This window comes from Homo sapiens, chromosome X (assembly GCF_000001405.40).
Source record: "Homo sapiens chromosome X, GRCh38.p14 Primary Assembly".
NCBI classification, from domain to species: Eukaryota; Metazoa; Chordata; class Mammalia; order Primates; family Hominidae; genus Homo; species Homo sapiens.
In genome coordinates, this window is record NC_000023.11 from 35,314,799 (window position 1) to 35,332,171 (window position 17,373).

Genomic DNA, 17,373 nt, shown 5'->3' on the forward strand with positions numbered 1-17,373 from the left:
GTATTTCTTTTATTTTTTATTTATTTATTTTTTTTATTATACTTTAAGTTTTAGGGTACATGTGCACATTGTGCAGGTTAGTTACATATGTATACATGTGCCATGCTGGTGCGCTGCACCCACTAACTCGTCATCTAGCATTAGGTATATCTCCCAATGCTATCCCTCCCCCCTCCCCCCACCCCACCACAGTCCCCAGAGTGTGATATTCCCCTTCCTGTGTCAATGTGATCTCATTGTTCAGTTCCCACCTATGAGTGAGAATATGTGGTGTTTGGTTTTTTGATCTTGCGATAGTTTACTGAGAATGATGATTTCCAATTTCATCCATGTCCCTACAAAGGACATGAACTCATCATTTTTTATGGCTGCATAGTATTCCATGGTGTATATGTGCCACATTTTCTTAATCCAGTCTATCATTGTTGGACATTTGGGTTGGTTCCAAGTCTTTGCTATTGTGAATAATGCCGCAATAAACATACGTGTGCATGTGTCTTTATAGCAGCATGATTTATAGTCCTTTGGGTATATACCCAGTAATGGGATGGCTGGGTCAAATGGTAATTCTAGTTCTAGATCCCTGAGGAGTCGCCACACTGACTTCCACAATGGTTGAACTAGTTTACAGTCCCACCAACAGTGTAAAAGTGTTCCTATTTCTCCACATCCTCTCCAGCACCTGTTGTTTCCTGACTTTTTAATGATTGCCATTCTAACTGGTGTGAGATGGTATCTCATAGTGGTTTTGATTTGCATTTCTCTGATGGCCAGTGATGATGAGCATTTTTTCATGTGTTTTTTGGCTGCATAAATGTCTTCTTTTGAGAAGTGTCTGTTCATGTCCTTCGCCCACTTTTTGATGGGGTTGTTTGTTTTTTTCTTGTAAATTTGTTTGAGTTCACTGTAGATTCTGGATATTAGCCCTTTGTCAGATGAGTAGGTTGCGAAAATTTTCTCCCATTTTGTAGGTTGCCTGTTCACTCTGATGGTAGTTTCTTTTGCTGTGCAGAAGCTCTTTAGTTTAATTAGATCCCATTTGTCAATTTTGGCTTTTGTTGCCATTGCTTTTGGTGTTTTGGACATGAAGTCCTTGCCCATGCCTATGTCCTGAATGGTAATGCCTAGGTTTTCTTCTAGGGTTTTTATGGTTTTAGGTCTAACGTTTAAATCTTTAATCCATCTTGAATTGATTTTTGTATAAGGTGTAAGGAAGGGATCCAGTTTCAGCTTCCTACATATGGCTAGCCAGTTTTCCCAGAACCATTTATTAAATAGGGAATCCTTTCCCCATTGCTTGTTTTTCTCAGGTTTGTCAAAGATCAGATAGTTGTAGGTATGTGGCATTATTTCTGAGGGCTCTGTTCTGTTCCATTGATCTATATCTCTGTTTTGGTACCAGTACCATGCTGTTTTGGTTACTGTAGCCTTGTAGTATAGTTTGAAGTCAGGTAGTGTGATTCCTCCAGCTTTGTTCTTTTGGCTTAGGATTGACTTGGCAATGCGGGCTCTTTTTTGGTTCCATATGAACTTTAAAGTAGTTTTTTCCAATTCTGTGAAGAAAGTCATTGGTAGCTTGATGGGGATGGCATTGAATCCGTAAATTACCTTGGGCAGTATGGCCATTTTCATGATATTGATTCTTCCTACCCATGAGCATGGAATGTTCTTCCATTTGTTTGTATCCTCTTTTATTTCCTTGAGCAGTGGTTTGTAGTTCTCCTTGAAGAGGTGCTTCACATCCCTTGTAACTTGGATTCCTAGGTATTTTATTCTCTTTGAAGCAATTGTGAATGGGAGTTCACTCATGATTTGGCTCTCTGTTTGTCTGTCGTTGGTGTATAAGAATGCTTGTGATTTTTGTACATTGATTTTGTATCCTGAGACTTTGCTGAAGTTGCTTATCAGCTTAAGGAGATTTTGGGCTGAGATGATGGGGTTTTCTAGATATACAATCATGTCGTCTGCAAACAGGGACAATTTGACTTCCTCTTTTCCTAAGTGAATACCCTTTATTTCCTTCTCCTGTCTAATTGCCCTGGCCAGAACTTCCAACACTATGTTGAATAGGAGTGGTGAGAGAAGGCATCCCTGTCTTGTGCCAGTTTTCAAAGGGAATGCTTCCAGTTTTTGCCCATTCAGTATGATATTGGCTGTGGGTTTGTCATAGATAGCTCTTATTATTTTGAAATACGTCCCATCAATACCTAATTTATTGAGAGTTTTTAGCATGAAGGGTTGTTGAATTTTGTCAAAGGCTTTTTCTGCATCTATTGAGATAATCATGTGGTTTTTGTCTTTGGCTCTGTTTATATGCTGGATTACATTTATTGATTTGCGTATATTGAACCAGCCTTGCATCCCAGGGATGAAGCCCACTTGTATTTCTTTTATTTTTTAAGTGAAGTGAAACGGTAACCTGTGCTAACAGGAAGCAATGTGAGCAATTGACCAACTTGATTTTCCCTAATGCATATTCTTACTTTTAATTGAAATTATTGAGGCCTGACTTTGTTCAGCAATACTGAATAATAACATCTGAAGGTCGACTCAAATTTTGCTGTATTGTTGATTTTTTTATGTTTATATTTTTTATATAAAATATATTTTATATTTATATTTTTCTATTTACTTGCTTGTATATGCCTGATTTATTAGAAATTGTGCTTAGAAAACCTGTTGTAACTTTTTTTACCTTTAATAATTATTTTCACTTCACGCAATTTAATTTAAATGATTGGAAGGAGAAATCCTGCAGGCAGGTAGAATAATTTGAAGGCCACTTGCTTATTATGCATGTTAAGTTCTTATGAGTGATAATCAAGAAAGTGATAAATTATAAGCAAAAACATAATGCTGACCTTTAAAATTCTGACCCACAATTATCTATTAGCTTTTTATTGGCCTTGTAACACATGAGAAATAAACTGAATATTTTCTAAGTACTAGAACTTTAGATGGAATGCTTAGGACATAAAATTATATCTAACAACAATAACTGGCAAATTCCCTGCAGTCTTTCTCCCATTTTGTAGGAAGTGCTGAAACTATCACCAACAACTAAAGGAAGGAGCAAAAGGTATAATAAGAAAAATGGGTAGTTAAAGATAATTCACCAATGTAATCTGCTTTTGAAATTGTTTCTATGATTTGCAATAATCAGAGAGCCCAGCGAAGTTAAGTCTTGATCTTGGAAAAGATAAAATTACTCAAGCAATTTAAACTACGGGAAGGTTGAATGAGACTTTGGTAAGGGAGTGGAGCTAACCAGCTTATAATGTTTTGCTGAGTTTTGTGGGGTCCAACAGGAAGTTATCCTGTGGGGAACTAATGTGCTGTAACTCTGTGTATCTGATTGGGTTTGTATTAATCAAATTACCCTTGGGCATGCACTGGGGTTTCCTCCACTGAACATATCTAGAGATTGTTAAAACCCTATAATCAAAGCTTTTCTAGTGGGCAGCCAGGTTCACATTAGGAAGCAGAACTGTAATTCCACACAGAAACTAGTAGAAATCCATTTCTCCATTTCTCTTTGACTCAGAAACCTATCATATTAAATCAACTTTAAGTTAATCACTTCTCCTCCCTCATAGTCTAAGAACTTCTGAAAATGTTATCTTGTAAATATATGGTTATATTGAGTTATTTAATGCTTCATTGCAAATGACTTTTTGGTTTCCTATAATGTTAAGCAATCAAATTTATATTAACTCACTAAACTAAATCACTGCTTGCTTTTTATTTTCTTTTTTGGGGGGAGGGGCTTTTATCTAATCCATCAGTTTCAAATACTAAAGTGTTTGAAACCATTAAGCCCAAGAGCCATGAATTTAGATTGCTTTGTTGCAAATCCTGTTTCTACCATTTACTAGAAAGGTGCTTTCAGGCCACATTGTTAAACTTTCTCAGTTTTCTTATTTGCTAAATTGGGAAAGTGGTATTTGTAACCCTTATTGAGAGAGTTATAAAAATTGTATTATGTATTGTGTCAAGCTTCTGGAATAATTTTTTAAATGTTAGCTATTATAATTATTCAGTTTATAAAAACTATTTCTTTTCTCTCTGTGACTTGATTCTTACCATAAAATATAAAATATCCATATCCTGACACTAGTGTCCTATAGAGATTACCTTTATACCAATTGCCTCTCCTGCGTCTTTGAAACCTATCTTGTGAATTTCCTTATCTGGTGTGAAAATTCACTGAAAAACACAGGATATAAGTTGGACTTGACTTTGTAAAGTCAAGTTTCCCATTTCCACTTAGAAGTAATTGTTTTGCTCAGATTAGTAGTGTATTTAGCATATCACTCTACCATGAATACTTGTTAAAAGAAAGAGAAAGCCAGGGTCAGTATTGGAGGTCCTCTTTTCATTTTATTATTTTATGTGTTTTTATTTTGATTTTCTGTTCTGTGCTGAGCACTGTATTAGAATACTGTACTTAATCCTCCAACTAAAACAAAATAAAACAACAACAAAAATCTATTTTTTTTTCTTAAAGATCTTAGGGACTATACTAGAAACCCATATTGAAAACATATGGGCACAAAGAGGACATCACTGACCGCAGTATCCAGGTGAAAAGTGGGCAGTGGTGCAGCCAGGCCTCAAAGACAGCAGAAACAGTGGCACGCTCTTTGCCAGGCTCTGTTTCTCTGTGGTGATCTTTTTTTCTAACTTTCATTTTAGGTTCAGGTGCACATGTGGAGATTTGTTATATAGGTAAATTGCCTGTCATGGGGATTTGGTGACAGATTATCTTATTACCCAGGTAATAAGCATGGTACCTCATAGGTAGTAATTCAGTCCTATTCTTCCTCCCACCCTCCACCCTCAGGTAGGCCCCAGTGTCTGTTGTTTTCTTCTTTGTGTCCATGTGTATTCAGTGTTCAGCTCTCACTCATAAGTGAGAATATGCTGTATTTAGTTTTCTGTTGCTGCGATAGTTTGCTTAGGATAACGGCCTCCAGCTCCATCCATGTTGTTGTGATGGTCTTTATTATCTTCTGTAAGCTAGTTTCTTTTACATGCTCTTCATCTTGGCCCTGGCAGTTCTTGTCCTCACAGATTCACCAACAGAGATGGGCTAAAAAAAAGCCCAAGTCCCAGAGAATAACTCTGACACCCTGGCATAGAGTCCATATCTGTCTTTGTGTCTTGGAAGGTGGACAACTGTGATTGTCAGTCTCTATTAAAATCCCTCAGTTGCAGTGAAGAAGGAGATGGTTTACTAGAAGATTAGAGGTGATGCTTCTAAACAATGGGGGAGGGGGAGGTAGTTGCTGTGGAGATTAAACAATACACATGGAGGTATGGAGGTAGCTTTGGTGTCCATCTGACTGAACTTACATTATGAATTCCCAATTTTCAGTCCTTCTGCCCATGGAGAAGTAATGTGCTACTCGCTTTTTGTTTGTTTGTTTGTTTATTTTTGAGACAGGGTCTCACTCTATTCACTCTAATTGCAATTGCCCAGGCTGAAGTACAGTGGCATGATTTTGGCTCACTGCAGCCTTGACCTTTCCTGGGCTCAAGTGATTCTTCCACCTCAGCCTCCAGAGCAGCTGGGACTACAGGCACAAGCCACCATGCCCAGCTAATTTTTTGTATTTTTAGTAGAGACAGGGTTTTGCCATGTTGCCCAGGCTGGGATGTGCTACTCCTATGCCTTGGTCTCCTTACATGAAAAATTGAAATACACAGGATCGAGTGCCTCAAGCACAGTACCTATCATGTATTAATGGCACTGTAAGTAAGACTTCTTATTTTAATTATCATGTCCTTTGTGTTGGCTAAGTGATCTCAATATCTCTATTAAAGAAAGCTAATATAACTTTTTTATTTTGAAAACAGAGGGCTGGATCAAATTTCTTTGACGGGGGCAGGTCTTTGAAATCTACTAACTTTATGACAGGAGCTGAAAAATAGTCATGATAGTCGTTATTATCAAAGTTGTTTGTAGCGTGGGAGATAGTCAGTCTTGTTTTCCAAGAGGTAAGTTACCTTCCAAGGGAAAGGGGCATTTCTGGGTTTCTGTTGGAAGGTGTAGCCATATAGACAGTTTGTTGAATTCAGATTGGCAAAATCTTGTGGATTTCTCAAGCCTTTACCCCAGACCCTTACACCAATGATAGGGTAGGGTCTGAGGACTTTAGAGAGCTCTTGGCCATTTTCATGCTGAACTTTCCTGATGAGTCTCTTGGGAAGCTGTTTAGGTAAAGGTTTCAGAGAACATAAGGCTTCTCCAGAGAAGTTCTCTGAGCTTGTTGGAAGTGAGGTGGCAGTGGCCTGAGAAGGAGACAGCAGGATTTTACTACTGCACACATCCAATGTAAGATAATATTTTAAAACCCATATTTCTCAAATGATTAAATACTTAAGTTGCTCACAAATGTCTGCTGAGAAGAGCTTTAGATATTTCTAGGCTTGAAAAGACCATCAGGTTCATTTGTGTTGGGCACAATTCATCCTAGGTGATCACACACAGCTTTTCTAATGATTAGAATACTCAGAAGCATGGGATGCTGTTAATGAGGGCAGTGTGCCTTTAACATAGGCATAATTTAAAGTGAAAGGGTGTTTCCTTTTTCAATTGCAAAAGACTGAACTATGGCTTATACTCTGAACGTTAATAAGTATTCTGTGAGATAAAAATATATTTGAAAGTGAATTTCCCCATTTTCCATGCCTATGTATAGTTGAGGCAAAAAAGGTGTGGATAGATTTTAATATTATCAAATTGGTCATTTTTCAAGATGGGTTTTAACCAGATATTGTTCCGCTTCAAGGCAAAATTTTAAAACAACTTTGTTTACAGTTAAATATGTAGTTTTATATTTGGATATAATAACTTTTCTTTAAAGACCAGTCCCCTGTAAACCAGTCCTTGGTTAAAATTACTGCTTGGATCCTGCAGGATTTTCTTCCTCCTATCTTTCTTCCAATACAATTGAATATTGATTACGATGTTTTCCATGTATGTATCTATTCAAGTCAATTTTGTTAACCTATTCCCTATAGGAAGGATAAAAACATTTTATAGAATGTTGCATGCAGCATTCATTCTAATTTCCTTCATGTGATTGATTGCAAATATTCCTTTGCTTATATAACATGTTTCATGATAAAGTGAAATGTGAACACTTACAGATAGATCACTTTCCAAAAGCTACTATGAGCAACTATATGCCAATAAATTGAAAAATCTAGAATAAATGGGCAAATTCCTAGATACATAAAATGTACCAATATCAAACGAATAAGAAATCTAAGACCTGAAAAGACCAATAACAAGTAACAAGATAGAAGCTGTAATAAAAAGTCTCCCAGTAAAGAAAAGGCCAGGATGTGAGGACTTCACTGCTGAATTCTACCAAACATTTAAAGAAGAACTAACAAAAAACCTACTCAAACTATTCTGAAAAATAGAGGAGGAAAAAATACTTCCAATCTCCTTCTACAAGGTCAATATTATCCTGATACCAAAACCAGACAAAGACAAATGAATACAAGAAAATTAAAAAAAATATCTCTGATGAATATTGATGCAAAAATCTTCAACAGAATACTAGCATATCTGATTCAACAATGCTTTAGAAAGATCATCAATCATGACGAAGTGGAATTTATCCCTGGGATGCAAGGATGGTTCAATATATGCAAATATATCAGTGTGATACATGATATCAACAGAATGAAGGATAAAAACCATATGATCATTTCAATTCATGCTGGAAAAGCATTTGATAAAATTCAACATCCGTCATGATACAAATCCTAAAAAAACTGAGGATACAAGAAATATACCTCAACATAATAAGAGCCATATATGACAGACACACAGCTAGTATCATACTGAATGGGGAAAAATTGAAAGCCTTTCCTCTAAGATCTGGAACACAGTAAGAATTTCCACTGTCACCAGTTATTCAACATAGTACTGGAAGTCGTAGCTACAGCAATTAGACAAGAGAAAAAATAAAGGGCATACAAATTGGAAAGGAAGAAATCAAATTTTATTTGTTTACAGATGATATGATCTTATATTTGGAAAAACCTAAAGACTCCATGAGAAAACTATTGGAACTTATAAACAAATTCATTAAAGTTCTAAGCTAGAAAATCGTCATACAAGAATTAGTAGTATTTCTATATGCCAACAGTGAACAATCTGAAAGAGAAAAGTAATCACGGCTGGGCACAGTGGCTCAAGCCTGTAATCCCAGAACTTTGGGAGGCCAAGTCAGGTGGATCATGAGGTCAGGAGATTGGGACCATCCTGGCCAACATGGTGAAACCCCATCTCTATTAAAATAAAAAAAAAAATTAGCCAGGCTTGGTGGTGCATGCCTGTACTCCCAGCTCCTCAGGAGGCTGAGGTGGGGGAATCACTCGAACCCAGGAGGCGAACATTGCAGTAAGCTGAGATTCCACCACTGCACTCCAGCCTGGCGACAGAGCGAGACTCAATCTCAGAAAAATAAAAAGTAATCACATTTCTAATAGCCACACATTAAATTAAATACCTAGGAATTAACATAACAAATGAAGTGAATGACCTGTAGAATGGATACTATAAATCACTGATGAAAGAAATTGAAGAGGACACAAAAAATGGAAAGATATTCCATGTTCACAGATAGGAAGAATCAATATTGTTAGAATGTCCATACTACCCAAAGCAATCTACAGATTCAGTACAATCCCTCTCAAAATACCAATGATATTTGTCACAGAAATAGGAAAGACAATCCTAAAATTTATATGGAACCACAAATGACCAAAGCAATCCTGTAGCCAAAGCAATCCTGAGCAAAAAAACAAAACTGGAGGAATCACATTACCTAACTTCAAATTATACTACAGAGCTACAGTCATCAAAACAGCATGGTACTGGCATAAAAACAGACACATTGACCAATGGAACAGAATAGAGAAGCCAGAAACAAATCCACACATCTACAATAAACTCATTTTTGACAAAGGTCCAAGAATATCAACTGGGGAAAACACATTCTCTTCAATAAATGTTGCTGGGAAAACTGGATATTTATATGCAGAAGAATGAAAATGGATCCCTGTCTTTCAAAAGTGTGAAATCAAAATAGATTAAAGACTCAAATGTAAGACCTCACATTATGAAACTACTATAAGAATACGTTAGGAAAAATCTCCAGAACATTGGTCTAGGCAAAAATTTCTTGAGCAATACCCCATAATCACAGGCAACCAAAGCAAAAATGGACAAATGGGATCACATCAAGTTAAAAAGCTTCTGAACAGCAAAAGATACAATCCACAAACTGAAAAGACAACGCACAGAATGGAATAAAAATATTGGCAAACTACCCATTTGCCAAGGGATTAATAACCAGAATATATAAGGAGCTCAAATAACATTATAGAGAAAAAAGTAATAATCTGATCTAAAGATGGGCAAAAGATTTGAATAGACATTTCTCTAAAGAAAACATACAGAAGGCAAACAGGATACGAAAAGGTGCTCAACATCACTGATCATCAGAGAAATGCAAAGCAAAACTACATTGAGATATAATCTCACCCCAGTTAAAATGGATTATATCCAAAAGACAGGGAATAACAAATGCTGATGAGGATGTAAAGAAAGGGGAGCCCTTGTATACTGTTGCTGGAAATGTTAATTGGTAGAACCACTACAGAGAACAGTTTGAAGTTTCCCCAAAAAAACTAAAAATTGAGCTATCATATGATCCAGCAATCCCACTGCTGGGTATATACCCAAAAGAAAGGAAGTCAGGACATCGAAGAGACACCTGCACTTCTACGTTTGTTTTAGCACTGTTTAGAATAGCTAAGATTTGGAAGCAACCTAAGTGTCCATCAACAGATGAATGAATAAAGAAAATATGGTACATATACACGATGGAGTACTATTCAGCCATAAAATAGAATGAGATCCAGTCATCTGCAACAACATGGATGGAAATGGAGATCATTATATTAAGTGAAATAAGGTCAGCAGAGAAAGACAAACATCACATGTTCTCACTTATTTGTGGGATCTAAAAATCAAAACAATTGAACATATGAACATAGAGAATAGAAGGATGGTTACCAAAGGCTGGGCAGGGTAGTAGGGGCCTGGGATTGGGAAGAAGTAGGGATAGTTAATGGGTACAAAAAAAAATAGAAAGAATGAATAAGACCTACTATTTGATAGCACAGCAGGGTGACTATAGTCGGTAATAACTGTACATTTTAAAATAACTTACATGGTGTAACTGAATTGTTTGCAACTTAAAGAACAAATGTTAATGTACCCCATTCTTCATGATATGCTTATTTCACATTGCATGCCTGTTTCAAAACATCTTTTGTACCCCATAAATATATACACCTATTATGTGCTCACAAAAAAATTTAAAAAAAAGATAATTGCTTGTTCATAAGAAGCAAATGATGAACCATAAGTCATCAAGACAGCCCTGCAAATACCTACCAAAAAATAGAACCAGCAAATAAGGCTGTCTCTTCCTTCTCTCATAAGGAAATTTAATACTCTATTCTTGGGAAATAAAATTGTATCTTGGCCAATTGATTGCAGTAGCATATGTTTTTACTCAGGTGATCAAGCCTTTTTCTTAAAGAGTGTATAAATGTAGTATATCAATATTATCATAAGCAAACTTATTCTTTCTTGATATTTTTTTTTTCTTGGGAACTTTCTGTTCCTTCATGGCAAGAGCACTTTGAAAGTTTTCCTTAACCCTCAGCCATGGCTTCTCATTCTCCAGAGTGACCCAGATCATCTACTTGTTTAACACATATTAAGGACCAGGCACTGGGCAGCCTTGTCTTTCAAGATGGTCAGCATAGAGAAGAGAACATGTGGAATAAAATCTGTCATTGTAGTGCTATGTAATGAGCCTAAGACAGAGGATCTCCAGACTCAGCCAGAGGACTGTGAAGATGCTTATGAGGAAGGGGAGCATCAAGCAAGCTGGTTCTTAAAGGAAGAGAAAGGATTAGCCAGAAAAGTCAGCATAAAGGCAGAGGAGGAAAATAATTTCCAGCAGGTGGAGAAGCATCGACAAAGACATGGACATTTGAGGGACTTTAGCACAGTGAAATATTCAAACATAGACTAGCGGGTCTGAAGCAAGTAGTATGTGCATGTGTGTGAGTGTTTGTGTGTGCACATGTGTGCCCATGCAGCAGTGGTGGTGGTGATGATGCAGTGGAAGTCTGTAGCTTTACAGATTGCTTGGCTCAATACAGTGTTCAAATATTTTCTGGGCATAGGGAGCAATCTCACTGCAAACGAGGCACATGAAAACATTTCTGTTCTCCCATGAATATGGGCATCACAATAGAAAAAAAAGAGATAAGTATGTGATTGTCTTTATATGGGTAAAAATCCAGAGAAAGAGGGAAGAAGTTAAGAACTGAGGTAGAGGGGCAGTTTCTAAGCCCTTCTTATGCTGGATCTTTGCAGTGTGCTTCCTTATTATTATCATTATGGTAATCATTATTTTGGGACACGCTGCATGTTTACACTGCTCTTAATGTCAATTTCAACATTCAGTCAAAAATCCAGAAATAGGCAGACCAGAAATTTTAAATATATTGCATTCCCCAAATCCCATTCCTAGCTAATAACTCACTAGAAATGGGATTTGAGGAATGCTATATATTTAAAATTTCAGGTCTGCCTATTTGCGTTTGCCCATAGAAGTAGTGTTATAAAAGGCAGAAAAAGTGCCAGGAACATGTCTCAAGTGCATTTGGCCCGTGGTCTGTTTGAGAAACAGTGATTCTGTATCCCTACAGCCATGTAGGTCTTGATTATAACTAAGCCTATCTCACCACCGGCATGGACCACAGGCACATCCAAGTCAACATACATACAACCAAGTCCTCATCTTCCATCATACACCTGACTGCAGATTGCTCAACCCCTCTGCCCCTGTCCTAATTAACAGAATCCCTATTCATTCAGACACCTAGTTGGGAACACTTACGGTCATTACTCCCTCCTAGTCCATGTTCCATGAGTCAACAAATCCACTAGATTCTATCTGAACATCACTTTAATCCATTACTTCCTCATTTCCTCTCGCTGCCCTAACCCAGGCCCTCATCTTTCTCCCCGAATGAGGACTTCAGTAGCCAGACTTTCTTATGTTAAGCTCAGAGTAACCTTACTAAGATGTACTCAGTTCATGTCTGAAATCATTCCAGTGGCTCAATATTGCCTTTCAGGTGGGGTTCAATCTTATTAATACCACACACAAGGCATCTCTGTGCACATTGACTTGTGCCTTTCATTCCAGTCCCAAGCAACAGTTGACTGCCTTCTAGAGGCACTGACTACACCCTACCTTCTCTACATTTTTGTACATTTCTCTCAATTTACCTCTCATTATCTCCTTGTCATCATTCAGAAATCAGACTAGACACCACATCTGAAAGGATTCTTTGTCCATTTAACCATTATTAATCACCAATATATTAAACATATTATGCTTGACCTGAAGATATAATGATAAATAAGAAAACAGTACCTGACCTCAATTTTGCTTGGCTATAACTGATTAAATAGACAATTGAATACAGGTAATTAGATTGGGGAAGGAGACTGTACTGGAGCACTTGGCAGTACTTAATCCAAAATGAACAGAAAGCTTCTCACAGAAAGTGACGTCTGCTTCAAGACCTGAAGAATAAATAGGATTGTCCAGATGAAGAGAAAGAAAGGGAGAGGAAAAGTAGTGCTCTAGATAGAGGTAACAGCCTATGTCAAGGTGTAAAGTTAGATACAGCAACATAATTTGCAGGACCAGTGCAAAATGAAAATATTGGTTCCCTTATTCAAAAAAGCAGGAAAAAATATGTTCTTAATAATATTAAGTTATAAAAGCTTTTCCTTTCCCCAGATGTTTCTCTCTCAACTTGTCATGGTGGTTTTTGTGTAGAGCCTCATAGGTGCCCAGAGGCCTGGCAAGATATTAGAAGCAAATGTGGCCCATTGGGTGGAGGTCCCCTCTCCCACAAGCAGCCAAACCGAAGAAACTTTGTTTGTTTGGGGGCTGTGTCTGAGAAAAGGTTTCAGTTCCTGACACATGTTCCATTGTGCTATGGAGTTTCACTTACAAAGCACAAACTCAAAGATAAAATTATTAAGAATTTCAAGATGACTTCTGGAATGATGGCACAAACAGCTTTATAGATCCTATTCCAGGTGAAACAACTATAGCATCTCTGGATATTGCTGGATATTGTTTTAAGGGCATGTATTCAAGTAAAAATTATGTCTTCAAGAAAAACTACCAAATCTTATTAAGTAAAGTGGAAGTCTATGGCATTTGAGTCACAATGTCCTCCCTACTTCCCATTTTTAGCTCAATGTGGTGGAAACTCCACTATGGTAGGTTGCAGACAAGAACATAGGGTTCTCTCTCTCACCAGGTTCCTATTGAGGGCTATGATATCTCCCTGAAGAAGTGCAGGCCACCAGCATTTCTCAACCCCCTCAGCTCAAAGTTGCAGAGGTTTTATTCCAGGAAAGAGAAGGCTAAGATGTCGAGGCTCCCTTTTTTCACCCAGATCCCACTCCTAGGGAATAACTTTATTCCAGACCTGGCAGGTCAAGAATAGTGGGGCTTAAATCACCAACACTCCAGATCACTTATTGGGTTGAGTTTCTATGCTGGAAGGAGTAAACCAAACAGACCAGAGATGGGTGCCTGAGCCCAGTACCCTGTAATGAAGCACAAGTGTCACTCTGAGACAAATGGACCATATTCCCTGCCCGGGTTCTACATTAGTAGTGGGTTTTCTCAGGGAAAGAAGCAGGCAATAAGAACAGAGGTCAGAAGCTCTCCCTAGAATAAGTGACTTCATTTGCAACAGAATGTGCTTAGGTTAAGGCTAAAGGCACTACAAAAAGAAAAAAAAAGATAGTGGTGGTAATAAATTACTAAGAAGCAGCTTGCTCAATGAGAGCAGCAACCTACACTCTAAACCAGTTAGAAATATACCAGAGAAATATAGGAAAGGAGATAGCTAAGAATAACCCTCCTGGAGTTAGAACAAACCTCAAAGATTACCTCTACAAAAGGAACACAATTTAATGGGATCAGATGGTGGTGCAATCTATGCCTCAGGGTGCTATTGATAACAATAGCAAGATTAAGTAGCAATTTGTGAAGGGTAACAGCTGCATGATAATCAAACTGAAGCAGATAGCTTAGCAAAGAGATCTGGGAAAAAAATAAAGAGAGCTCTGCTGAAATCACTGTCATCTTAGGGTAAATGTGTATATTCCTAGGGTTGTACCCTCTGAAGAGCGGCATCACAGGATGTAACCTGTTGAAGGCATGAGAAAAACTTCACTAAAATAGTCTAGCTATTTCACTAAAGTTACCAAAGAAATAAGCAAAAAACAACAAGCCTTAGAGAGGTGACCAGTATCCAGGATTGTTATGATATGTTACCTAAAATGTTTACTACCCAAGAAAATAAACAAGAAAATGTGATGCATACATTTAAAAAAAAGTGTCTAAAATTTTAGTGAATGGTAAAAGAATGAATTCCTTTCCCCCTGTGATCAGGAACTAAATAAAAATATTCACTCTCACCACTTCTATGTAACATTTTATTGCCTCTAACTAGGGCAGCTAGGCAAAAAAATGAAGTAAAGGCATTCAAATTGGAAAGAAAGTAGTAAAACTATATCTATTTGCTGTTGATATGATCTTGTGTATAGAAACATCTAAGGAACCCACTACAAATCTATTATAATTAATAACTTATTTCAGTCATTTTCAGGATATAAGATCAATATGCACAAATCTATTTTATTTCTATACACTAACAATGAAACTTCTGAAAATTAAAATGAGAAAACAATTTAATTTATTATAGCAAGAAAGACCAAATATTTACAAATCATATACCTGGTATGGTTCTTGTATCCAAAATATATTTTACAACTTCTTACAAGTTAACAATAAAAAACAAATAACCCAATTAGATAAACAAAAGGACTTGCCTTTTGTTATCCATTAGAGCAGCCATTTGAGAATACTGAGAAGTCATTGACATGACTTAAGGATTGCCTTGGCTATAGATAGCATCAAAAGTGGAAGTAGTGAGATCATTCAGAGGGCTATTACAGAAAACCAAGGGGAGAATGAAGTAGTTTGGAGTAAAGGTGACAGCTGTGGAGGTGCTGAAAAGTAGTCACATTGAGATTTTATTTATTTGTTTATTTTTATTTATATAAATTAATGGGGTACACGTGAAATTTTCTTACATGTATATAATTCATAGTGATAAAATCGGGGTATTTAGGGTGTCCATCACTCAAGTACTATACATTTTTCTTAACTATAGTCAACCTACTCTGCTATCAAACATTGAATTTATTCCTTCTATCTAACTGTATGTTTGTATACTTTAACCCACTACGCTTCACCTTCCCCCTTGCTCTCCATTCACCCTTCCTAGTCTCTGTCATCTATGAAGATATATTTAAATGTAAAACTGAATACTGATGAACATTTAAGATGGATATTTTTCTGGTAAATTTCTTAATATTAGTCATTCATATAACTACTATTTGTTTGTGTTTGTATGTGTATTTATAAGAACTATTCTATAATCTTATGTTGCCAGACTTTGTTAGGTAAGAATAGGGCACTACTTGTACAGACTAATTGATAAGGCCCCAGAATGCTGGATGAACTATTTCAGAGAAAGAGAAATTATCCCTAAAATAAGAACTTGTGTCTTTGTAATAGAATTGAGGATTACCTAGGCAACTGGCTTAACAGTAGTGACTAAGAAGATAGAATTCTGGAAGCAAAACTGGGCTTTTCTCCTTACTGCTATGTAACCTTGGCTAAGTTAATTAATATTTCCAAATCTAAAAGCATATTCTATAAAATGGATATAATAAAAACTTTGTAAACTTTCTGAGAAAATTATATGTGTTTGTATATTTTAAAAGCCTGGTACAGAATAGAAAGCCCATAGATGATAAGAACGTAAGTCATTCTAATACACTAATAGATAAAGGATATTTGGATTGTCAATCATTCTCTATTTGTACAGGCAAATGTGTACATATTGTAACATAATGAAGCAATTCATTTTTTAGAATCCTATTAAATTATGTCATTAAATACAATAGAATAATAATAATTAGTACTTCACCTCATTGCCTTAATACATTTTAAATGTATTGTTTAATATCCTGAATATTGAGAGAGAGAAACAGAAATTATTTGGAAGCACAATTATATTCCTGCATTACATGAAAGAACTCCAGAGATTTATCTATACAAAACAGATAAAAACTATACACTAGTATTTCAGAAACATTAAAAACACATTAAAACTTTTTAAATTAGTTCAAGTATTTTTAGTTTAGTTTTTCCATATTAAAATTATATAGAAGAGGTCACAGGACATGTTTCCATTTAACTGTGTCTTCTTCAATGTCTTTCTTTTTTAAAAAGCAGTAAGTAAAATTTTATTGTACTAATTTATTTATTTTTCACTTTTTAAAAATTTTACTTTAAGTTCCGGGATACATGTGCAGAACGTGCAGGTTTGTTCCATAGGTATACATGTGCCATGGTGGTTTGCTGCACCTATTGACCTGTCCTCTATGTTCCTTCCCCTCATCCACCACCCCCCAAAAGGCCCTGGTGTGTGTTGTTTCCCATCCTGTGTCTGTGCTTTCTCATTGTTCAACTCCCACTTATGAGTGAGAACATGCAGTGTTTGGTTTTCTGTTCCTGTGTTAGTTTGCTGAGGATGATGGCTTCCAGCTTCATCCACGTCTCTGCAAAGAACATGATCTCATTCCTTTTTACAGCTGCATAGTATTCCATGATGTATATGTACCACATTTTCTTTATCAAGCCTATCTATCATTGATGGGCATTTAGGTTCGTTCCATGACTTTGCTATTGTAAATAGTGCTGCAATAAACATACATGTGCATGTGTCTTTACAGTAGAATGATTTATATTCCTTTGGGTATATACCCAGTAATGGGATTGCTGGGTCAAATGGTATTTCTGGTTCTAGATCCTTGAAGAATAGCCATACTGCCTTCCACAATGGTTGAACTAATTTACATTCCCACCAACAGTATAAAAGCATTCCTATATCTCCACAGCCTTACCAGCACCTGTTGTTTCTTGACTTTTTAATAATCGCCATTCTGACTAGAGTGAGATGGTATCTCATTGTGGTTTTGATTTGCATTTCTCTAATTATCAGTGATGTTGAGCTTTTTTTTCATATGTTTGTTAGCTGCATAAATGTCTTCTCTTTTTTTTTTGAGACAGAGTCTTGCTCTGTTGCCAGGCT